This window comes from Homo sapiens, chromosome 12 (genome assembly GCF_000001405.40).
Source record: "Homo sapiens chromosome 12, GRCh38.p14 Primary Assembly".
Taxonomy (NCBI): Eukaryota; Metazoa; Chordata; class Mammalia; order Primates; family Hominidae; genus Homo; species Homo sapiens.
In genome coordinates, this window is record NC_000012.12 from 70,765,568 (window position 1) to 70,790,605 (window position 25,038).

A 25,038-nucleotide genomic window follows, 5' to 3' on the forward strand; every position below is an offset into this window, starting at 1 on the left:
CACCTCTGGGGGCAGGGCACAGACAAACAAAAAGACAGCAGTAACCTCTGCAGACTTAAATGTCCCTGTCTGAGAGCTTTGAAGAGAGCAGTGGTTCTCCCAGCATGCAGCTGGAGATCTGAGAACGGGTAGACTGCCTCCTCAAGTGGGTCCCTGACCCCTGACCCCTGAGCAGGCTAACTGGGAGGCACCCCCCCAGAAGGGGCAGACTGACACCTCACACAGCCGGGTACTCCTCTGAGACAAAACTTCAAGAGGAACGATCAGACAGCAGCATTCGCAGTTCACAAACATCTGGTGTTCTGCAGCCACCGCTGCTATTACCCAAGAAAACAGGGTCTGGAGTAGACCTCTAGAAAACTCCAACAGACCTGCAGCTGAGGGTCCTGTCTGTTAGAAGGAAAACTAACAAACAGAAAGGACATCCACACCAAAAACCCATGTGCACATCACCATCATCAAAGACCAAAAGTAGATAAAACCACAAAGATGGGGAAAAAACAGAGCAGAAAAACTGGAAACTCTAAAAAGCAGAGCGCCTCTCCTCCTCCAAAGGAACACAGCTCCTCACCAGCAACGGAACAAAGCTGGACAGAGAATGACTTTGACGAGTTGAGAGAAGAAGGCTTCAGACAATGAAACTACTCCGAGCTACAGGAGGAAATTCAAACCAAAGGCAAAGAAGTTGAAAACTTTGAAAAAAATTTAGACAAATGTATAACTAGAATAACCAATACAGAGAAGTGCTTAAAGGAGCTGATGGAGCTGAAAGCCAAGGCTTGAGAACTACGTGAAGAATGCAGAAGCCTCAGGAGCTGATGCAATCAACTGGAAGAAAGGGTATCAGTGATGGAAGATGAAATGAATGAAATTAAGCGAGAAGGGAAGTTTAGAGAAAAAAGAATAAAAAGAAGTGAACAAAGCCTCCAAGAAATATGGGACTATGTGAAAAGACCAAATCTACGTCTGATTGGTGTACTTGAACGTGACGGGGAGAATGGAACCAAGTTGGAAAACACTCTGCAGGATATTATCCAGGAGAACTTCCCCAATCTAGCAAGGCAGGCCAGCATTCAGATTCAGGAAATACAGAGAATGCCACAAAGATACTCCTCGAGAAGAGCAACTCCAAGACACATAATTGTCAGATTCACCAAAGTTGAAAAGAAGGAAAAAATGTTAAGGGCAGCCAGAGAGAAAGGTCGGGTTACCCACAACGGGAAGCCCATCAGACTAACAGCGGATCTCTCAACAGAAACTCTACAAGCCAGAAGAGAGTGGGGGCCAATATTCAACATTCTTAAAGAAAAGAATTTTCAACCCGGAATTTTATATCCAGCCAAGCTAAGCTTCATAAGTGAAGGAGAAATAAAATACTTTACAGACAAGCAAATGCTGAGAGATTTTGTCACCACCAGGCCTGCCCTAAAAGAACTTCTGAAGGAAGCGCTAAACATGGAAAGGAACAACCGGTACCAGCCACTGCAAAATCACGCCAAAATGTAAAGACCATCGAGACTAGGAAGAAACTACATCAACTAATGAGCAAAATAATCAGCTAACATCATAATGACAGGATCAAATTCACACATAACAATATTAACTTTAAATGTAAATGGACTAAATGCTCCAGTTAAAAGACACAGACTGGCAAATTGGATAAAGAGTCAAGACCCATCAGTGTGCTGTATTCAGGAAACCCATCTCATGTGCAGAGACACACATAGGCTCAAAATAAAGGGATGGAGGAAGATCTACCAAGAAAATGGAAAACAAAAAATTACAGGGGTTGCAATCCTAGTCTCTGATAAAACAGACTTTAAACCAACAAAGATCAAAAGAGACAAAGGCGGCCATTACATAATGGTAAAGGGATCAATTCAACAAGAAGAGCTAACTATCCTAAATATATATGCACCCAATACAGGAGCACCCAGATTCATAAAGCCAGTCCTGAGTGACCTACAAAGAGACTTAGACTCCTACACAATAATAATGGGAGACGTTAACACCCCACTGTCAACATTAGACAGATCAACGAGATAGAAAGTTAACAAGGATACCCAGGAATTGAATTCAGCTCTGCACCAAGCAGACCTAATAGACATCTACAGAATTCTCCATCCCAAATCAACAGAATATACATTTTTTTCAGCACCACACCACACCTGTTCCAAAATTGACCACATACTTGGAAGTAAAGCTCTCCTCAGCAAATGTAAAAGAACAGAAATTGTAACAATTGTCTCTCAGACCACAGTGCAATCAAAGTAGAACTCAGGATTAAGAAACTCACTCAAAACCACTCAACTACATGGAAAATGAACAACCTGCTCCTGAATGACTACTGGGTACATAACGAAATGAAGGCAGAAATAAAGATGTTCTTTGAAACCAATGAGAACAAAGACACAACATACCAGAATCTCTGGGACACATTCAAAGCAGTGTGTAGAGGGAAATTTATAGCACTAAATGCCCACAAGAGAAAGCAGGAAAGATCCAAAACTGACACCCTAACATCACAATTAAAAGAACTAGAAAAGCAACAGCAAACACATTCAAAAGCTAGCAGAAGGCAAGAAATAACTAAAATCAGAGCAGAACTGAAGGAAATAGAGACACAAAAAACCCTTCAAAAAATTAATGAATCCAGGAGCTGGTTTTTTGAAAGGATCAACAAAATTGATAGACTGCTAGCAAGACTAATAAAGCAAGAGAAGAATCAAATAGACGCAATAAAAAATGATAAAGGGGATATCACCATCGATCCCACAGAAATACAAACTACCATCAGAGAATACTACAAACACCTCTACGCAAATAAACTAGAAAATCTAGAAGAAATGGATAAATTCCTTGACACATGCACTTTCCCAAGACTAAACCAGGAAGAAGTTGAATCTCTGAATAGACCAAAAATAGGATCTGAAATTGTGGCAATAATCAATAACTTACCAACCAAAAAGAGTCCAGGACCAGATGGATTCATAGCTGAATTCTAACAGAGGTACAAGGAGGAACTGGTACCATTCCTTCTGAAACTATTCCAATCAATAGAAAAAGAGGGAATCCTCCCTAACTCATTTTATGAGGCCAGCATCATCCTGATACCAAAGCCGGGCAGAGATACAACAAAAAAAGAGAATTTTAGACCAATATCCTTGATGAACATTGATGCAAAAATCCTCAATAAAATACGGGCAAACCGAATCCAGCAGCACATCAAAAAGCTTATCCACCATGATCAAGTGGGCTTCATCCCTGGGATGCAAGGCTGGTTCAATATATGCAAATCAATAAATGTAATCCAGCATATAAACAGAGCCAAAGACAAAAACCACATGATTATCTCAACAGATGCAGAAAAAGCCTTTGACAAAATTCAACAACCCTTCATGCTAAAAACTCTCAATGAATTAGGTATTGATGGGACATATCTCAAAATAATAAGAGGTATCTATGACAAACCCACAGCCAATATCATACTGAATGGGCAAAAACTGGAAGCATTCCCTTTGAAAACTGGCACAAGACAGGGATGCCCTCTCTCACCACTCCTATTCAACATAGTGTTGGAAGTTCTGGCCAGGGCAATTAGGCAGGAGAAGGAAATAAAGGGTATTCAATTAGGAAAAGAGGAAGTCAAATTGTCCCTGTTTGCAGACGACGTGATTGTATATCTAGAAAACCCCATTGTCTCAGCCCAAAATCTCCTTAAGCTGATAAGCAACTTCAGCAAAGTCTCAGGATACAAAATCAATGTACAAAAATCACAAGCATTCTTATACACCAATAACAGACAAACAGAGAGCCAAATCATGAGTGAACTCCCATTCACAATTGCTTCAAAGAATATAAAATACTTAGGAATCCAACTTACAAGGGACGTGAAGGACTTCTTCAAGGAGAACTACAAACCACTGCTCAATGAAATAAAAGAGGATACAAACAAATGGAAGAACATTCCATGCTCATGGGTAGGAAGAATCAATATCATGAAAATGGCCAACTGCCCAAGGTAATTTATAGATTCAATGCCATCCCCATCAAGCTACCAATGACTTTCTTCACAGAATTGGAAAAAACTACTTTAAAGTTCATATGGAACCAAAAAAGAGCCCGCATCACCAAGTCAATCCTAAGCCAAAAGAACAAAGCTGGAGGCATCATGCTACCTCACTTCAAACTATACTACAAGGCTACAGTAAACAAAACAGCATGGTACTGGTACCAAAACAGAGATATAGATCAATGGAACAGAACAGAGACCTCAGAAATAACGCCGCATATCTACAACTATCTGATCTTTGACAAACCTGACAAAAACAAGCAATGGGGAAAGATTCCCTATTTAATAAATGGTGCTGGGAAAACTGGCTAGCCATATGTAGAAAGCTGAAACTGGATCCCTTCCTTACACCTTATACAAAAATTAATTCAAGATGGAATAAAGACTTAAACATTAGACCTAAAACCATAAAAACCCTAGAAGAAAACCTAGGCATTACCATTCAGGACATAGGCATGGGCAAGGACTTCATGTCTAAAACACCAAAAGCAATGGCAACAAAAGACAAAATTGACAAATGGGATCTAATTAAACTAAAGAGCTTCTGCACAGCAAAAGAAACTACCATCAGAGTGAACAGGCAACCTACAAAATGGGAGAAAATTTTCGCAACCTACTCATCTGACAAAGGGCTAATATCCAGAATCTACAATGAACTCAAAGAAATTTACAAGAAAAAAACAAACAACCCCATCAAAAAGTGGGCAAAGGATATGAACAGACACTTCTCGAAAGAAGACATTTATGCAGCCAAAAGACACATGAAAAAATGCTCACCATCACTGGCCATCAGAGAAATGCAAATCATAACCACAATGAGATACCATCTCACACCAGTTAGAATGGCAATCATTAAAAAGTCAGGAAACAACAGGTGCTGGAGAGGATGTGGAGAAATAGGAACACTTTTATACTGTTGGTGGGACTGTAAACTAGTTCAACCATTGTGGAAGTCAGTGATTCCTCAGGGATCTAGAACTAGAAATACCATTTGACCCAGCCATCCCATTACTGGGTATATACCCAAAGGACTATAAATCATGCTGCTATAAAGACACATGCACACATAGGTTTATTGCGGCACAATTCACAATAGCAAAGACTTGGAACCACCCAAATGTCCAACAATGATAGACTGGATTAAGAAAATGTGGCACATATACACCACGGAATACTATGCAGCCATAAAAAATGATGAGTTCATGTCCTTTGTAGGGACATGGATGAAATTGGAAATCATCATTCTCAGTAAACTATCACAAGAACAAAAAACCAAACACCGCATATTCTCACTCATAGGTGGGAATTGAACAATGAGAACTCATGAACACAGGAAGGGGAACATCACACTCTGGGGACTGTTGTGGGGTGGGGGGAGGGGGGAGGTATAGTTTTAGGAGATATACCTAATGCTAAATGACGAGTCAACGGGTGCAGCACACCAGCATGGCACATGTATACATATGTAACTAACCTGCACATTGTGCACATGTACCCTAAAACTTAAAGTATAATAATAATAAATTAAAAAAAAATAAAAATAAAAAGATGTATTATATACACCATGGAACATTATGCAGCCATAAAAAATGAAATTATGTTCTTTGCAGCACATGGTTGCAGCCAGACCATTATCCCAAGCAAAGTAATGCAGGAACAGGAAACCATATACTGCATGTTCTCACTTATAAGTGGGAGCTGAACATTGAGTACCCATGGACATAAAGATGAGAGCAATGGACACTGGAGACTGCTAGAGGAGAGAGGGAGGGAAGGGGGTGAGGGACTGCTTAATGTGTGCTGTGCTCACTGCCTGGGTGATGGGATCATCTGCACTCTAAATCTCAGTGTTATGATCCAGTGTTCCCATGTCGCAAACCTGCACATGTACCCCCTGAATCTAAAATAAAAGTTGATTTTTTAAAAAGATGGTATATTATATAATAAAGCAATTTGTCTAGTTATAATAAAAAGCACAAATTAATGGTCAATTCATAAAGAATTTCATTGAAATGTGCCTTGAATAATTTTGCTTTAGTTTAGTTCCAGATGACAGAATGGAATCTGTGGCCAAGTGTATTTCAGTTATCCATCTTCAATTTGTGTTCATACAAGTCACAGAGAGAAAGATGCTGTGTAAGTTCCATAAGGCCTGTCTTGGCAGTTTCTATACATAGTGATTTGCTGCCAGTGCAAGGCAAAAGAATGAGGTGCAAGAATACATTTTCAAACTCTGGTAAAAATGCCAGTGGTACTGATGATTTGGTCTAAGATAAACAATTCTTATTCAGTTGTTTGGGCAAACACTCAGCTTTCAGGTTTGCTTAGGAAAAAATCTAAATATTAAAGAATTCCTAAAATAAAATCAAATTATGATAATATCATAATTATCATAGTAGTAATAATAACCCTCATTGAAGCCCCAGCATGATTACTACACTGAAACCATGAAGTAGTTTACTGTATGTATTTTCAAAAATGCATCATTAATCATTTGAGAGATACTCAAGGTAGGGAAACCAAATCTTTATGCATTTCTTTTATTCTTATAATACTTAATTCACTAATTTGAACATAGTAGGCTATCAATAACTATTGAATGGCTGCAACATCACCTGTTCTGTAAAGCTAGGCATACTTCTGAGTACACACTTCTCTAATAACGAGATTGGTTTACATGTGCAATCTCCTATAGAGTAGGAACTCTTTAGGGGAACTTCCCTCAGCTTGCTTTAAAAAGAGATTAATACTGTTTCAAGGATTTATAGTCTCAAAAGGAAATACCATAATATATCCTCTATTTTTTACCTGCAAGTATATTCTCTATTTTGTACCTGCAAGTAGGTAATAAATAAGTGATTGGAAACTGGATTAAATGCTCAATGCTATAGGAATCAGAGAGAATTTGGAAAGTCAAAAGAGGTATAGGGTTCCCAGTCAAGATGATGGGCCCAGCTAAAGCTCCAGCCTGCATTTCCACCTTAGGGTCTCTCAATGCTTGCATGGAGGTAGGGGCCCTAAGATTTGGTTAATTTAGGTTAACTGGACTCCTTGTGAAAAATTAAGATCCAGAAAAGGGCAGAATCATTGAAAAAAACTACCTAAGAGAGCCCAGTAATAGGCAACAATTTGCTTCTGGGGAGGAGAAATAAGAATGATGTTGGAGTATATAGAAAGCTATATCAAACACAATCAGTAACACTTTAAAATTTCTTAAAATTTATCTTACTTTATTTTTTTTTAAGCTTAAAACAACAGAAATTTCTTGTCTTGTCATACTAGAGGCTGGAAGTCTGAATCAAAGTGTCAGTGGGGCCATGTTCCCTCTTAAATTTGTAGGGGAGAATCCTTCCTTGCTTCTTCTAGCTTCTGGTGTTTGCCAGCAATCCTTGGGATTCCTTGGATTACAGATATATTACTCTAATCTTTGCATCTGTCATCACTTGGCTTTCTCCTCCCTGTGTCTTCACGTCTTCCCTCTGAGTGTCTGTGTCCAAATTTTCCCTTTTTATAAGGGCCTCCTTATATTGGATTAGGAGCCCACCCTACTCCAATAAGACCTCTTGTTAACTTTTGTTACACCTACAACAACCTTATTTTCAAATAAGGTCACATTCTTAGGTACTGGAAGGCTAGAACTTCAACATATGAATTCTGGGGTGGTGGTGAGGTGGGATGTAATTCCACCTTTAACGAGGAGAAAGTCAGAATTCTGAGGAAAGAAGCTGCTAACTTGTAGCCAGAGAATTGACCAAGAACCTTAGTAATTTTGCACATTTTCTTCTGTTTTCTTTTAGGCTCTGAGTCAATACAAGTAGGAAGTTCAACTGGTTCCCTGGGTGTTCATTCCTGGTTGGAGAGCTGTTTGGGAGGCTGGGAAGGTCCATTAGAAGCATAATTCTATTCCAGAGGTGGCTTGGCAGATGGAGCATATCATGGGTAAAGGCAGTGGTAAAGTCTTGGTGAGGCAAAAATAAAAGAGGTACATGAATCCAGACACAATTTGAAATAGATCTTTCTGTTCCAGGTTAATTTCTCAGCATGTCACAGAAAGCAATTCCTACTAGACCTGAAGAAAGTGGCTTCTCTCTTAACAGAATGTTATCTTCTTCTAGAGAGTAATATGTTTTTATTAAATAAAAAGCATCTAATAGTACACAAGTGTTTGCTACATTATTTTCTGTATTTTTAATAGCCTAAATATGCATCCATTATATAACAGAATGTTTTAATGCAGAAAGTAAGACTTGAAGCCAACCTTAAAGGACAAGTAGGATTTGGAAATGCAGTGATCAGGAAAGTAGCATTATACTGTTAAGCACAATATACGCATCTACCTGGCATACCTGGGAGACTAGAAAAACTCAGTACACCTGGTCATCCTGAGAAACAGAGGCTTCCTTTCATCCGTGGCCTGTTTTCATCTCTGCCAGACTACAGAAGCTGCCATTAAAGATGAGACACTGTATTGGAGACTCTGTCTACTACCCTTCCCTTGCAAGGCCAAAGATGGATTCCTTAGTTTTCTCAAATGGTGAATGAGTAACCTCTGTCTCACCAGCAGTGTTTGTCAGGCAGGGTGAGCTGGCACACAGTGTGCCTGAATCCCCAGAGGCAGGATTTGGAGCCAATTGTCTATGCTGGGAACCCACAAGCCCCCTCAAGGGGGTTGTGTACACACTGCAGAACTCAATTCCCAGAGGCATGATTAACTTGAGGCTTGTAACTGTGGAAACAGTATTACAGTTTCAGACTGAAATGGTAAATGGGAAGTGAAATGGGAACTAAAGATTTAAAAATCACTGAAAAAGGCAACTTTGCAAAAATATGAAAGCTGTACAAAAGCTGTACATTTGAAACAGAAATTTAGACTACCCAACTATAGTGAAGAAGTGAGTTGAAGTAATTAGTTGAAATTGAAATCATCTGGTTCATTGCATCAAAACATTTGAATGATTTTCCTCAGTTCTCTGCTTGTCTGAGAAAAGCTGGATTTTGTAGAGCATGCACAGATTTCTGACTCTTCCCCATAAAAATAGTGATGCTAAAATATAGTACAAACAGATATCTATGTATTTGAAGGCCTAATATATGCCAGGCATTATATATGAGTGCAATTTGAGAAAAAGAAAGGATTCTAGATAAAAATGGGAATTTTATTTCAGACAAAATAAAAAATATATGACTTTATATAGTTAGAAGATATATGCTACCTCCTTCTGTCTGGATAGATGCTAGAAATGCACAGCCTCTCCTCATCCTATTATGTGAAACCATAACAAGTATGACAGGATATAAATTTTCACAGCAGTAACAAGGCAACAGCTTTCAAGTTGCTGTACAACATTCTGCGATATATTTTTGTTTGGATGCTAAACCCATTTGGTCATTTTTAACATTTAACATACAAATGATTTAACATTTTAATTTCAAAGAGATTAAAATGTTCTTTCCAAATGCAAATGGTAAGCCACTTTACAACAGTACATAATTTCATAGAGTTACTACATAAGAACAATTGAGTATTTTTATTGTTATTACAAATATATAAACATACAGAAAAAACATACAAAATTCAAAGTCTTCCAATTCTACCTATATTTAAATATACCAGGCCTCTGTCTTGTTAGATTCCTTTGTCAGTTCCCCACTACTGTTCCCCTCCACAAAGGAAATAATATTTTATGACAAGACTTTCTTTCTTTGGTTCCCAGACTGTCCACCAAAGTAGTTAAAGCCTATGGGCCTTAGGTACAAGTTGAGGTGATAGGATTGATGAAATGTAGCACTTTCAGGTACCAGCATTATGTTTGAATTATAAGTATGTGATTAGCTTTTAGCTATTTATTTTGTAAAGGATAATTGAATTATTTTTGCCTAGCAGGGAGGCAGTTAGTCCCCTCCTGAAGTTATTAGGCAGCCTGGACTTTCATTTGGTCATACCCAGTAAGAGTCAGGACCACACCCAGTGGTCCAGTTAGTGGGCAAAGGACAAATGTCCATCTTTCTTCCTAAGAGATGCCTCAAGGCTCCTTAGAGAAGTGCTGTCTCAATTCCCAACAGCCACAAAAGGACCAAAGCTTCCTTTTGGACCAAAAGCTTGCTAGAAGAAATCCATCCACTTCTAACTCAAATGTGCCCCCCAACCCTTTTTTTTTTAACCTGGAATCTTTAACTCCATTCTTGGCCAAGGAGTTGGAATGGCAAGAGATTTCCAGGAATAAAAGCAAAAGGTTCTCTGTTTATGCCTTTGAACTGAGTAGAGAACGCTGACCTGTTAGAGACATTTTATGCTTTCACCCCTTCCCTTCTCACAATTCTCTGCACTTGTCCTCTGCTATTAGTTACAGATTAATTATTTTTATTTCTATATTACACATTTCCACCTTTCTCATGGTCTTACACCTGCTTCCCTCTTCCTGAATGTCCCACTTACACTTCAAACTCAACATTACCCAAACTGAACTTACCTTTCTCCTTCTTCCTATCCACAATCAAATTTGCTTCTCTTTCTACATTCACATAATGGAATGAGCTATCATATTTGGGTATCATCCCGACTCTTCTTTCTTTATTCTTTACACCACCACCACGACATCCAGTGAATAGTCAAGTTCTGTCTATTCTACCTGCTAAATAGTCCTTGAATGTTGAACCCATATTTTCTTTATCTATATTTCCATCATTTTAGTTCAGATCATCACCATGACTAACTGGACTATTTGGCTAGAATCCTAATGGGTTGCCAGTTTTCTGTGGTCTCTAATTAATTCCCCATATGGACATCATAGTTATCTGTGTAAAATGCTATCCCAATCAAGCTACTATTCTGTTCAAAATACTCTGAAAAAATCTCATTTTCTAATGAATGATCTTAACTCCTCCATTCACCAAATTTGCCCTGTCCTTCCAGTCTTAACCTCTTACACCTTTCCACCACACATGTCATACTCCAGGCATCCCTAAGGTTTATTAAACATGCCATGTCCTTTTCACATTGTTAGCGCACACCGGGATCAGTGCTAGGGGCTCTTTCTTCTCCTTGGAGACTCAGCCTTTTTGCTACCTGGAATCTTTAACTCCAGGTAGAAGAGTTAAAGATTCCAATTCAAGATCCATGGTTGGCAAAGACCATTCTGCCAGCCTTCCCTGACTTCTCCCCCTTCTTTTGTTGTTCCTTTCAGTTCTCCAGTAGTACTGTGTTGGACTTTAGGATTTTTTGTTTACATTTTTATAAAAATGTCATGCTTATTACAACAAAATTTAAGGTACAGATGGATATATGGTAAAAAGTGAAAATATGCTTCCCCTTCCTAGCCCTTCATCCTAATCCGCAGAAATAATCCTGCTAACCATATCTTGTGTATACTTCCAAATATTTTCTATGTGTACATGGTATAAAACAATATGTATATATCATACATAATATATATTACTATTAAATACAAATAGGATTGAACTATACATTTTGTTCCACAACTTGCTTTTTTCACTAATATATCTGAGATAGAGTTCTATATTTATAATATATACCATCATCAAATATCATGCTTTGATTCTTATAATTTCTTATTTTTAACAGATTAGTTTATTCCATTCACTTCTGTTATTTCAACAGATTTAGATGTGTTTTATTGCTTTGCTATTTTATGTTTTTTTGTTTTTATTCTTCCTTGGTTTTCTGTCTTTTGCTATATTGTCTGTTTTTAGTTGTTATTCTACATTTTTTCTTCCCATGTCTATATTATAACATAAAATAAGGCATGAAAATATATTTAAGCCATTATTTCTTGATTTATAAAATTTAGGAAGTATTTATTAACTTCTGCTATGAAAGATGAGAAAATATGCCACTCTTCCCACCAATTCTCATAACCTCCCAGTTTTTGTAATTATATTATTATTTCTATATTGTTATATCTAATGCTATTGACATTATATTCTGTGTATTAGAGACTACCCAGAATTCTCCATGATCAAGATAAGTAAAAGTAAAGTGATACCTTCAGTCTTACGCAGTTAACAATGAGGATGCCTTCTCCACCCTCTCTTTCTTCCTTCTGTCTGCAAGCTGGATGGGTCCAGGGTCACCCTAAAACTGCATTAAAAATGGTGGAGCTACACAAAGGAAGACATCTGAGCCCCCAGATCACTGCGTGGAGAAGAGGGTCCCACTCAGAAACCCACATTAAATAGTGACATGAGTTAAAAACAAATTTTTATTGTGTTAAGCCACTAAGATATGGGTATGTGTTAACACTGTTTATGCCAATGAATATATGCTGAAACCATAATTTCTACAGTTCTATAGTGATAGTTATATATTCAAATGGATTCAATGCTCATGACCAGTCTTTTATTTTTAGAAGGATGTCACCATTCTTGAATTCTATATTTTGATTTATCTGTTTTTCAGTTGGGTTTCATTTCAAATCGCTTCTTTCAAGTGAGGCTCATGAGTGCTCTATTTCCTGAGGCATTATATGTTTGTGAATATATTTGTGGTGCTTTTAACAATAAATAACAGCTTGGCTGGATATTAAACCCCTGATTCAATCTTTATTTCTATTTTTTTTTCTCTTTGAACTCTGCTGCTATTTTCCAATGCCTTCTGGCATTGAGAGTTGCTGTGAAAAATACTGTGGCCTGAGGCTAGTCTGTCTTGCCTTTCCCACCCCTCATCTCATAGAAGTCTTTATCTTTAAAGTTAGAAAACTTCACCAGGATATTTCTTTGGGTTGATAGTGCCTGTAATGTGGTATGCCGTTATAGTCTACAGATTCCAGAGCCTATTTCAGTAATATTTTCTCCTATTATGCATTTGAATGATTTTTCATCTAAACATTTTGGTCTCATCTTCAAAGACACTAATTATGCAACTATATATTCTTCATCTTTCTATCTCAGCACATTATTTTATGTGCTTATTTTCTCTAATCACTTGTATGTTTTTATTCAGCTAAAATTCTCTGAGGTCTGCACTCTGTCCTTATGTTTTTTCAGCAGAATCTTTTCTATTTCTTTTGTTTTAAATGTGATTTCAATTTCTCTAATGTTTTTTTTTACTGCCATCATTTCACTTCTGAATTCTGTCAATTTATTCTTTGTGATTGTTGTAGACAAGACATGGACTGTCTTGATTGCATCAGACAGGAGATGACACAAAACTTGTGTTTATAGTTTCTTGGTCTTTTGCATTCATTTTTGTTTTTGTTTGTTTTTTAGACAGAGTTTTCACTCTTGTTGCCTAGGCTGGAGTGCAGTGGCACGATCTCAGCTCACTGCAACCTCCACCTCCCAGGTTCAAGTGATTCTCCCGCCTCAGCCTCCCAAGTAGCTGGGATTACAGGCATGCACCACCACACCCAGCTAATTTTTTTGTATTTTTAGTAGAGACAGGGTTTCAACCACGTTGGCCACTTGGTCTTGAACTCCTGACCTCAGGTGATCCGCCCACCTCAGCCTCCCAAAGTGCTGGGTTTACAGGCGTGAGCCACCCTGCCCAACCCTCCATTCATTTTTAAATCTTTTTTTTTTTTTTTCTTTCAGGAGTTCAGCTTCTGTTTCTCTCTTAAAATCCTGCAACAACTTTCTATCCTGTTTAGAGTTAAATTCCATCATGTGGGCTCTCAAGGCCCTGCTTTATCTGGCTCCTATTAACTGTGAGCTTCATCTCATAGACCTTTTTCAAGGCACTCTGTCCTTTTTCCAGTTCCTCAAGCCAGCTATGCTCATTTTTACCTTATGGGCTTGGCATGCACCTGCCTGCTGCCTGGGGAAGTGTTCAAGATTATTGGGTGGTGCCTCCTTCTGGTTGTTCAGCTCGGTCTTAACATCACTTCCTCAGAGAGGCCTTCCCAGCCTGACCACTCTCTATCAGATCACCCTGCTTTCTTTTCCTCATAGCATTTATCACTATCTGACAGTTTCTTGTTTACTTGTTTATTGTATATTCTCACTTTACAAAATGTGGGCTCCATTGGTGCGGGTCCATGTCAGTCTGGTTCTCTGCTGTCTCCTCAAGACCCAAAACAGTGCCTGGCACATAGTAGGTATTTAATAAATTCTTGTAAAATGAAGGAACACATGAGTCATGATAACCAACACTGTAGTTACCAAGTGAAAGCATCTGAGTTATATGATAGGCTTGGAAAGGGTAACAAACCCAGGCCTCGTGCTTGAGGAAGGTATGTTCAATTTAGTTTACCTGTAATACCTAATCATTAAAAAACACACAGAATTGATTTAGCATAATTTGTATTCTATTTAGAATTAACATGTCTCTGACACTTTGACTACTATAACATTTAAGAGGGAGCAAAATCAAAAGTTAGTCTCATCAACTTTTTGAAACTCACTTTTTTTTTTTTTAAGACAGAGTCTCGCTCTGTTGCCAGGCTGAAGTGCAGTGGTGCAATCTTGGCTCACTGCAACCTCCGCCTACTGGGTTTAAGTGATTCTCCTGCCTCAGCCTCCCGAGTAGATGGGACTGCAGGTGCCCGCCACCATGCCCAGCTAGTTTTCGTATTTTTAGTAGAGACGGGGTTTCACCATGTTGGCCAGGATGGTCTTGATCTCTTGACCTTGTGATCCACCTGCCTTGGCCTCCCAAAGCGCTGGGATTACAGGCGTGAGCCACTGCACCTGGCTGAAACTCACTTTTAGTAGGCAATATCAATATATATTTTATGCTATATTGGTTGTAAATTAAATTCAAATGTATCCAGTGTTAGTGCCCATTTCTTGGTAATTTGAGAGTTTTAAAATTTACCTTTCTAATTATATAGTTAATGCATATGATAGAAAATTTATAAAATATAATGATTAGAAAAAAGAAATAAGGATTATTTATTTTGGGATAATCATGTATCCCATCACGCTGGGATAAGGTTGTGGTATTTTTAGTGTTAGTTTTTTTCCTGATACATAGGTTATATATATCATATAATGTACATATGCATATATGAATATATATGCATATACCTACACATATCATACAAATATTTATCCATTTTCATGTGATGCTATAACTACCACATTTCTATGGCTTTCCCCTTTACATGATATTGGGAGGAAATGCTTTATTCCCCAGCCCTGATGTTTTATTCTGTGTGGTAGCAGTTTTAATATAATAATATTCCTGGATTCTTCCTCTTGTCAGTCTCCCTAGAAGAGGAAAAGTGACTTGTGTAACTGGTGCATTTGGAATAAGATAGTGGGGCATGTGCAGGTCTGTGCTTTCCTTTAGGATTCTGCCTACCTGTAAAGACCATATAATCTGGTCTGTTCTTTGCAAGTGGTAAAGTAAGCCCAAAGGCATTGTCCCTGCAGGAGAGTGCTGTGGTTTACCATTGCTGCCTGTGACTGGTGAGAAAATTTGCTTGAAGGAGGTGCAGTCATAAAAGAATATCACTTTCGTGATTTGAAGTCACAAATGCAGCAGCTCTATCAGCAATATAATTGACATTTTGATCTCTGTAGGCCCAGTTCCTACGTCTTTTTCAGGCAGGAGAGACAGCTGCTATGTCTTGGTCCACTAAAACACCAACATATGGCACCAAAAAGTCAGACAAAAAAATGGGCTGACAACTTTACAACTTTTCTTGTTAGGTAGCCTTATTTCAGCACAGATATCTATGCTTGTAGACAGGTCAGAGAAACATCATGGTAAATGGTGTTATGGAAGAAGTCAGGAGTAGAGAGGTTCCAAAAGAGGTTTCTCAACAGAGCCAGATACTGCTGGAGGTTAAGAAAAATGTGAACAGAAAAAGGCTGTTTGATGTGTTAATGAGTAGATAATTGGAAGCCTTCAAGTCCTGATTCTCAAAATGTGGTTCAAGGTGCATTGGGAGGGCATGTGATCCTCACTGCAACTCACATGAAAAGTGCAAGTTCCCTGTGCAGCCATATAGGTGCATTCTGTACAACTGCAGACTTTTTTATGCCAAAGCGTTATTGAGTAAGTTTTTAAGGGTTGGTACAATTTGGTCTTAGTAAACTAAAATTAGTATGTTGTCAGTATATTGACCCTTTTAAGAGGTGAAAGAGTGAGGTATAATGAAGAAATAGGCAGAACACGAAGACCAATTTTGATCAGAACAAAAGGATAAAGACAGGATGGTAAACAGAGAGAATTCATTTTTTCCCCATAGTTTTAAATAACTATGACCTTTATACTACAGCAATAGTGTCTTAGATGACTTACTCTTCCTTCTTAAGCTCCCTGCATTACTGATGAGCTACTCCTTTTAACACATGAAATAACAATACTAACAGTATTGGTAAGAATATGTTGAGACATTTCATAAACAGTTGCAATACCAACTTCATGAGTTTTTCATATCCTTGCTCAGTTGTTGTTATGATCAATTGATAAGCTAATTAAAACAATTAACAAAGAGCTAAATGGGTATTGATAGTGAGTGAGAAAAGATACCCAAATTTCTTGTTTAAAAAGGGTAAGATCTTGTAGACAAGGACAATATTCAGGAGCTTCTTGAATTTTGTGTTCACACATTTAAAAGTGCTTGCCTGTTTTCTCAGTTGCTAGGGAGCCTGAGCACAGCTTAACAAAATAAATGTGTTTGTGTGTTCAGATGTTGCAGGTAGGTGAGCGAATACCAATCAAAAACTGCCACATTCGATTCCTCAAGGATCTAGAACTAGAAATACCATTTGACCCAGCCATCCCATTACTGGGTATATACCCAAAGGATTAAATATCATGCTGCTATAAAGACACATGCACACGTATGTTTATTGTGGCACTATTCACAATAGCAAAGACTTGGAACCAAGCCAAATGTCCATCAATGATAGACTGGATTAAGAAAATGTGGCACATATACACCATGGAATACTATGCAGCCATAAAAAAGGATGAGTTCATGTCCTTTGTAGGGACATGGATGAAGCTGGAAACCATCATTCTCAGCAAACTATCACAAGGACAAAAAACCAAACACCGCATGTTCTCACTCATAGTGGGAATTGAACAATGAGAACACTTGGACACAGGAAGGGAAACATCACACACCGGGGCCGTTGTGGGGTGGGGGGAGTGGGGAGGGATAGCATTAGGAGACACACCTAATGTAAATGACGAGTTAATAGGTGCAGCACACCAACATGGCACATGTATACATATGTAACAAAGCTGTACGTTGTGAACATGTACCCTAGAACTTAAAGTATAATAAAAAAATAAACAAATAAAAAACTACCACATTATCAAATAATAGTTAAGATAGGGGTTAGTAAGGCAGACTTGGGTTCAAACCTGGGTTGAGTGGCCTTGGTCAAATTTCTTCTCAGTTGAAGAAAATGAGGCTCAGTTTCTTCACCTGGCACATGGGAATGGTAACTGCATCCCTTTCATAGTCTTTAATGTGGGCCCTACATGAGCTATTGATAAGGGATCATTGGGGTCCGATTTTCCGGCCAGAAACCTCTGTGGCTGGTGGCACCTTTGCCTGAGTTCTTGTCCTGCATTCAGGAAGAATGAGGTATGCAGACAAGTGAAGGGTGAACAAGACAAAGATGAGCTTTATTAAGTGTTAGAACAGCTCAGAGGAGACCCACTGTTGATAGCTCTTCTCTGTAGGCTGGTCATCTGTGGAGTGTTCAGCTCTCAGCAGAGAGGAGGCTCTGGAGAGGGTAGCTCCTCTCTGCTACTGGTTGTGCAGACATCTACTGCTCTCAGCAGAGAGGAGGCCCTGGAGAAGATTGTTCCTCTCTGTAGCTGGTAGTCCCATCTTCCCAGGTCTCTGAAACTCTCAGCAGAGAGGGTAGCTCCTCTCTGTAGCTGATCATTCTGTCCTCCTACTTTCAGCAGAGAGGATAGCTCCTGTCTGCAGCTGGTTGTTGCCTCTCCCTCTTCATCTCTTCACCCTCTGTCTGCTCTGGCTGAGGCCTTTATGGGCCTCAGAGGGTGGGGAAGTGCATGCTGACTGGTTCATGGGCAGCCATGGGTGGGCCCAAGAAAAAGCACCATGAGCTCCTGCTCTGGGTCTGCAGGACTGGCGGCCCCGGACCCCAGGCTTTACTGGAGACCTGCCCTTTTCTGCCCAGGAGCCTGTCTGCCTCCCATGGCTATCCATGGTGCCCAGGCTGCTGGCACCAAGAGACACCTGCAGTTCAGCACCCAGCTGCCCTTAGTCCCCTTTTAGCTTCCCTTCTTTTTGGCACCCAAAGTCTGGAGGGTCTAAGGCTGTGTGGGGGGGACGGGGGGGGGGGGCGGGGGGCGGGGGTTGGCACGTCAGCACTGCCCTGAGCCTGTGCACACAGCTGGGGCTGTGACAGAACCTGGGCTCAGCCCCAACCCTGCTCCCAGATTAGAGCGGGTGCCCGGAGTAGGGAGAAGCCCGGCAACAGAGACAGGCACTCCAAGCTTGCAAAGGTAAGAATGCAGGGATGCCTGGGTCTGCGGTTTGGGTGGCTGCAGCTGAGGGCAGAGGGAGCAGGGTTCCTGCTTGCTCGGTGGAGCGGGAGGCCTAGATCCGCAGCCCTGACTTGGGCAGCTGCAGCCTGGCCCAGGAGGGCGGGGCTTCTGCCTACTCCTGTCTCCGGAGAGCACAGGGGTACCCAGGTTGCAGTGGTGGCCTGGACACCTTGCAGTTGCACCTGGGGAGCTCCCACCTGCCAACTTGGAAGGGGCAGGGCTCCCGCTTATCCCAGTTCCGCAGGCTCCATGGAGCAAGGCACCTGGCCATGCCCCCTGGCAGCCTGGGGTGGGGGCTCCAGATCCTTGCTGGGCCTGGGCTAGTAGCGGGGTTGGGTCGATGCTGCCGAGAGCTCTCCCTGTCTCTCCGGAGCTCCCCCTGTGGCCCGGGAGCTCAGGGGCTAGCCAGAGCTCCCCCTTGTCCGGAGCACAACCTAGCCCCGCTCCAATGGGCGGTGCCCAGGGCAGCAGGCTGCTGTTGGGGGTTCTGTCTGCCTCCTCCCAGTACCCTCCCTGCAGCGGCCGGCATGATGGCAGCAGCCGCACCAGATGGCCGCCGCTGCCATCACTATTAGCTATAAAACAGCTAGAAGTGGCAGATAAAAAGTAACAGTAAACTAGGCTTAAAGATACGTGTTTACTGCACATCAATGTTGAAAATGAATAGTTTAGTGACTTGCTTCTTTGGATATTCAGTACAAGGGGAAGTGGAGTAACAGCTTTGTTGATGAAATGAAGGTCTTGAACATAGTAACCAGGATAGTAATAATATCAACATTAAAAAGTGGCCTGATTGGATTTGCAGTGTTTACAGTTACTGATTATTACACTTGTCAAGGAGCTTTCACCAAAAGTCAATCAAAAACTCTAGGCCCCAGGAAAAAGCAATGGTCAAAACAATTTGGTTTTGCTGAAATGCTATCATTTGTTTCTGGAGAGAATATATATATTCGAGGTTGAAGGTCAAAACGGCACATTTTAAGAACAGTTTTTGAATTCAAAATCTCTGCTTCCATTCACTCTCCATCCTGTCCCTTCACATTATGGCTTCTGTGAACATGCAACTCAAATCCTAAATCATGTAGAAGACTCTTTAAGGACATCTAATTAAATTCATATTCATCTTTCTTTTCTTCATTTTTACCACTACCAATTAAATATTAATATTGAAACAAAGCCAAATTTAATGATTTAGAATAGAATCTCTTATCCTACTCATTTGAAATGCTTTTTATAACCTAGTTTTTCCTTCATTAGTCTCTGCCCTCTATTTTAATATTACCTCTTAATTAGTGTCCCCTTTCACATCCCCTAATAACATTCTTGTGATAAAAACTTTTCTTTCATGTGCAGAGACCTAAAATTTAGAAATTACATGAAGAACTTTTGTATATTGTTCTGGAAACTTTAAATTCTATACAATTTTGAGTAAGCCCCTATCCTTATAAGCTGTTTTTAAAAATTATGAAATGGTGAAGGTCTCCACTCTTCCAAGTACAAATTCACTGGAGGAGATAAAGCTTCCATAAAATATAAAATAATACTCTATATACTTTTTATGATAGTATCATTTCTATGCTTTGTGACTTCATGTCCATTTATGCTTGTAAAAATATTTTTATAAAAGTTACAGACAGGTCTATGGATGAAATAGAAGAAAACAGATTTAACGCAAAGTTCCTCAGAGACAGGAGAAAAATCACGATTTAACCACAAATAGATATTATCCTGGGTACAGTAAACAAACATAATAGCAAGTTACTTGTTTTTAACAGAGTTTTCAATTCTCATTATTATATGTTTGAGTCAACAGAACTTTCCACCTTCCACTCCCCTGATTATGTTTTCTATCTTTTATTGGGATGTTATTTTTCCCAGTTATTCTTGTTCCTTGTTCTCTTTCAGCCTCCCCTCCCCTTCCTTCAGTATTTCTCATGCTGATGGCAGAACCCAGCAGCCAAAGCTTGAGTTGAAAATGACTGGAATCAGGGTCAGGCAGAAACCCTGTGTGGCCAAAAGCTCAACACTCAGGCAAATGTCTGAAAAACGAGGTCAGACAAATTCAGGTTTCTACATCCAGCCCTATCAAAATAACAAAACTCTAATCATCACAGCCCTGACCTCTTCATTCATGGAGCTTTTCTGAAAGGACAGAGACTTCTCACTACAGTGTTCAGTAAGAATTGAGACCATGATTACTTCGAAGAGGCTTTTAGGGATGCTTAGAAGTAGATATCCATGGGCAAAATAATAATCCTTCAGCCCCCAACGACTTTGCATTCTAGTCATAAACTGATACTTTCCTGAGCCATTGAATATATAAATACTACTCTTTTTTAAAAAAATTAAGAAATTAAAAGTCCTTACAGGTCATTGGAGCTTTATTTCAGATGTGGGTGAAATAAGGAGATGGGTACCTTTTATGTGCTTATATTCAATCAATAGGAATAGACTCTTTTGGGACTTTCAACTGATCACATGCAAAAGCTTAAGCTCTGAAGGGGCACAGAGACCACACAAGCTCTGAAACATCAGTCTGATCACAAGAGTAGTTTGAAGTCTAATGCTCCGTGGAAGTGTGTTATACATTTCCTTTCATTTTTATTCCCTCCATGAAGTAGTTTATGTTTCACTTCAATGGCTGTAATGGGATTCTGTGTTTTCACTTTTCTGGTGAACTATACAATTCTCCAAGAAACACGGTAAAATGAAATGAGGTTTATTGGCATGTGGTTTTAACATGCAAATAAAAACTCTATGATTTAATGTCTTTCAACTTTTTTCTTAGTAATCCTGATTTTTTCTGTCATGGGGGAATTAATAATTTTCTGCATGGTTAAAATGAATAAAGGCAGAGTGTGGAATAAGTTTTAGCTAGTGTTTTTGTGGTTCTTTCAACTGAAGAAGGATATGGAAAAATAACAATAAGCATATAATTTTCCACAATGTGTTATTTTAGTGATTAGCACCTTGAGAACTGTCTCATTTCTAGAAAAGAAAGATTCTGAGTGATGTTGTCTGCAGCATAACTTTGATGCACAACATGACTCTGCCTATTTCATCCTGTTATTACTTCTCAATTACCACAATAAGAGTCTTCTTTTTCTTTTAGGAAGATTGAGGTCCTGGTATTTATTAGGACTGCACTATGTCTGATCTAATTATTAACTGTTAGAAGTATATATATTGATCAGAAAAACAAGGGAAACTATTTATAGCTTATTCCTTTTTGTGACAGCCAAATATAGACATGGCTAATTTGATACAACACAATCCAGCATCAATTATCAACTGAGTAATTCGCAATAGCAATTTTTAAAATTAACTTGAAGAGTATGAATGCTGTAGGGCAAGGTATTTTAGTGTACAAGGCTAAGAAGCCACATCTTCTTTAAAGCTTAATTTCTTTTAAATGAAAGATTTAAACAGGTTAGTCCTCCTCATATTAAAAGCTATATAAGCAATAAACATTACAAGAAAATCACTAAAAAAACTTTCCTTTCCCTTTAGTCTAAAATCTTGCTGCTGAGCCCTAAATCCTGCTGGAAATTCTTGCCAAGCCATCATTTGGCATTATTACCTGCTCATGTCTCACACCAGAGTTGCACTTAAAAAAATAACATCAAATCTGGCAGCCCTATATTTTGTGGGAAACAGAGCTTGACTTCTTGAATCAAATAATTTATTTGGGCCATCTTGATGACTGTTTTCTGCAATATTGAATCAGACAGAAAGTTAATCCAATTTTATTATTAAGATGGATGTAAACACCAGATGCATTATTTTTTGACATTGTTATTCATCATCAAGGACCACAGATAAAATTAAAATTATCTATGACTTTGTACCAACACTAGAACCATTATATTGTTTTTAAATATTGAAACTAAATTCTTATTTTTAATCTTTGTTGTCCAGAACTTCGTACAATGCCTAGAACACAGTGGAAACTAAATACATACTTTTTGAAATAAAGTTAAGTGGAATAAACATTGGGCGAGGTTTTTCACCTCAGGATAGCACTTTCTATACAGATTAATAAATTTATACATCATTTTAAATAAGAGCCATATTTAAGCCAACATTAAAGAGTAAGGTTCTTGGTTTACTGATAAAAAACAACAAAGCTGAGTTCCCCAGCTGGGAATTTAGCTGATGATGTCTCATAGCACTGACTTTCACTCACTGGACCCTACATGCAATTATAACAGAAGATACTGACTAGTCTTTTAGTGAAGTCTGCACACAAACACAGGGTATCCGAGATGTCATTATTATAAAAATGTCTAGATTTAGTGAATTAACCCACTGTAACCCTCTCTCAATTTTCGTTTCTAGTTGTAGTCATCTTTTCCCTGATGTCAGTGTGGGAACCACACTAAACAAAACAAAGAAAATATCTGCTCCACTCAATGTCTTTTAAGAACTTTTGAGTTCTGTTCAAGTGAACATATTTATAATTCTACTCTCCTTAGGATGATTATGAACTTTACAAGAAACTCCTTATGATTATGGTAGATATTTACTGTTAAGATATTTTGAATGACTGCATAGCATTTTCTTTTAATTTCAGACTTTTAGGCTAAAGATATTTCCCTAGATATCACATAAGTTCTATGCTGACTCATTTTTCTACATTTACATGAACAGATATAGACATAAATCTTAATATTTACCCTCCTAAGCTCTTAACATTACACCGAGGACCCTCTGCCTATCATGAGAGATTATCTCACCTGTTTGGAAATTGACTGCATGTTGTGATGAAGTCGACTTCCATTTGCACTCTTCTTTGTGTTATTTCCTTACCATAGCAAGCAGGACTAATCGTAAAGCTTTCTAAGCTTGTGTGCTGAGATGAAGCCTCATTTAGTCACCTGGAGGTAACCGCCTGGTACTGTTTCTAGAGACACTGCGGATCCCAGGTCTACTGCAGCAGCCTGTGCTTTCCCAAGAGATATCCCAGGTGCTTGCTGTTTCAACAGTTTACTAGAATTGAAATTCATGGGGATTTTTTTTTTCCATGGGAATTAGCAAAACTGTAAGATGAGAACTTTATGGGCTGTGGACAAGGTGTGTTGCATGAGGAATGTTTTTATCTTCCTGACCAACATGGCACATGTATACATATGTAACAAACCTGCATGTTGTGCACATGTACCCTAAAACTTAAAGTATAATAATAATAAAATAAAATAAAAATATTAAATACTCATAAGCTAGTTTCATAATAAACATAAATTTCTTTTCAAAGTTCCACTATTTCCACCAAAATTTTCTTACTTGGTGCTAGGGTCTTTATAGATATCTTATTTTAGCAGTCAGCATGACTTAGAAACAAGGGTTATTATTAATTTTTATATTGATTGGCAAATTAAAGTGACTCAATCAGAGGCAAAGTAACTAATCTGGGATTCAAATATTAGCTGGTCTGATTCCAAAACTGATGACTTTTTTTTTCTTACCATACCATATGCATACCATTATGATTGAACCCTGAGGGATTTCAGATAACTGTTGTAATTATTATTATTAGAGAAATATTTTGTCTAAAAATAGATGGCAACAAAAAAATTAAGACATTATCTCTGTCTTTTAGAAGCTAATAGTCTGATAGAAAAAGGGTAGTTGAAACACTAGGAATTCCATGAATTATGGACTCAAGTTATATGGCATAACTCTAGGAAGGTTACAATAAAACAATCATTTATACATTACTGGCCACATGGAATTGATTTTAAGGCAATAGGGCAGTGTTAAGGGTATTAAAAATGTTCATAATCTTTAATCCAGTAATTCCCCATCTGCAAATTTATCTTAAGAAAATGATCTCAACGAATAAAAAATAAGTAGGCACAAATATTTTCTTTGCAACATAATAGTAAAAAATCAGAAGCAACTTAAATGAACATCAACAGTAAAAAGGATAATGTTACATCAACAGGAGATAATTGTTGTCTAATTCTCCCTCTCATTCCTGCATCATTAGTTCACCCTTTCTACTAGATTTTTCTAATTTATATTCAAATGTGTTATAATATTTCTCATATTAAAACAAAAGCTGAACAAATCCAAATATCCTGTTATTCAGCTACCATTCCTTTTTTTAATCTCCTTTATAAACAAAGGTCTCAAAAGAGTTGCCCATATTTATTGTTTCTAATAACGCTTTCCACCTCCCATTCTCCCTGTATCAGCTCCTGTTAAACTAAACCAGGATTGCTACATCCAATGTTCAATCCTTAATATTCCTCCTGTTGATCTTCCTTCTTAACACAAATGATTCCTTCCTCTGCCCTGATACCCTTTCCTGCCTAGGCTTCCAGGGTGCCACACTTTCTTAGTTTTTCTTCTCATTGGCCATTCCTTTTCAAGTTCCCTTTGCTTATTTGTCCTCATCTTCCTCACCTCTATACAATGGACAGCCCAATGCTCAATTCTTAGTCTCTTCTTTTCCTCTATAGTCTGAAATTTAGCAGGATCTCTCCCTTAGAACTCAAGACTCATGCATCCAATTGCATCCTTG

At 38.6% G+C, this 25,038-nt stretch overlaps 1 protein-coding gene and 1 long non-coding RNA gene across 6 annotated transcripts in view; one reads left to right on the forward strand and one right to left on the reverse strand.

Annotated features, from left to right (window-relative positions):
* The window catches only part of LOC124902960 (uncharacterized), a 54,602-nt gene extending 46,372 nt beyond the window's left edge, over nucleotides 1-8,230 (forward strand). For both annotated transcript variants that reach the window (XR_007063361.1, XR_007063362.1), the window contains exon 2: nucleotides 7,870-8,230. This is a non-coding gene — a long non-coding RNA (uncharacterized LOC124902960). The remainder of the gene's footprint in view (nucleotides 1-7,869) is intronic.
* The window catches only part of PTPRR (protein tyrosine phosphatase receptor type R), a 282,666-nt gene that overhangs the window by 127,495 nt on the left and 130,133 nt on the right, over nucleotides 1-25,038 (reverse strand). The window contains exon 1 of one of the 4 annotated variants that reach the window (NM_001207015.2): nucleotides 23,249-23,353. The exons of the other annotated variants lie outside the window; for them this stretch is intronic. Within the exon in view, the coding sequence (NP_001193944.1) occupies nucleotides 23,249-23,269 (21 nt within the window). The 5' untranslated portion in view covers nucleotides 23,270-23,353. Of the gene's footprint in view, nucleotides 1-23,248; nucleotides 23,354-25,038 lie in introns of those variants that run through there. 4 annotated transcript variants of the gene reach the window in all.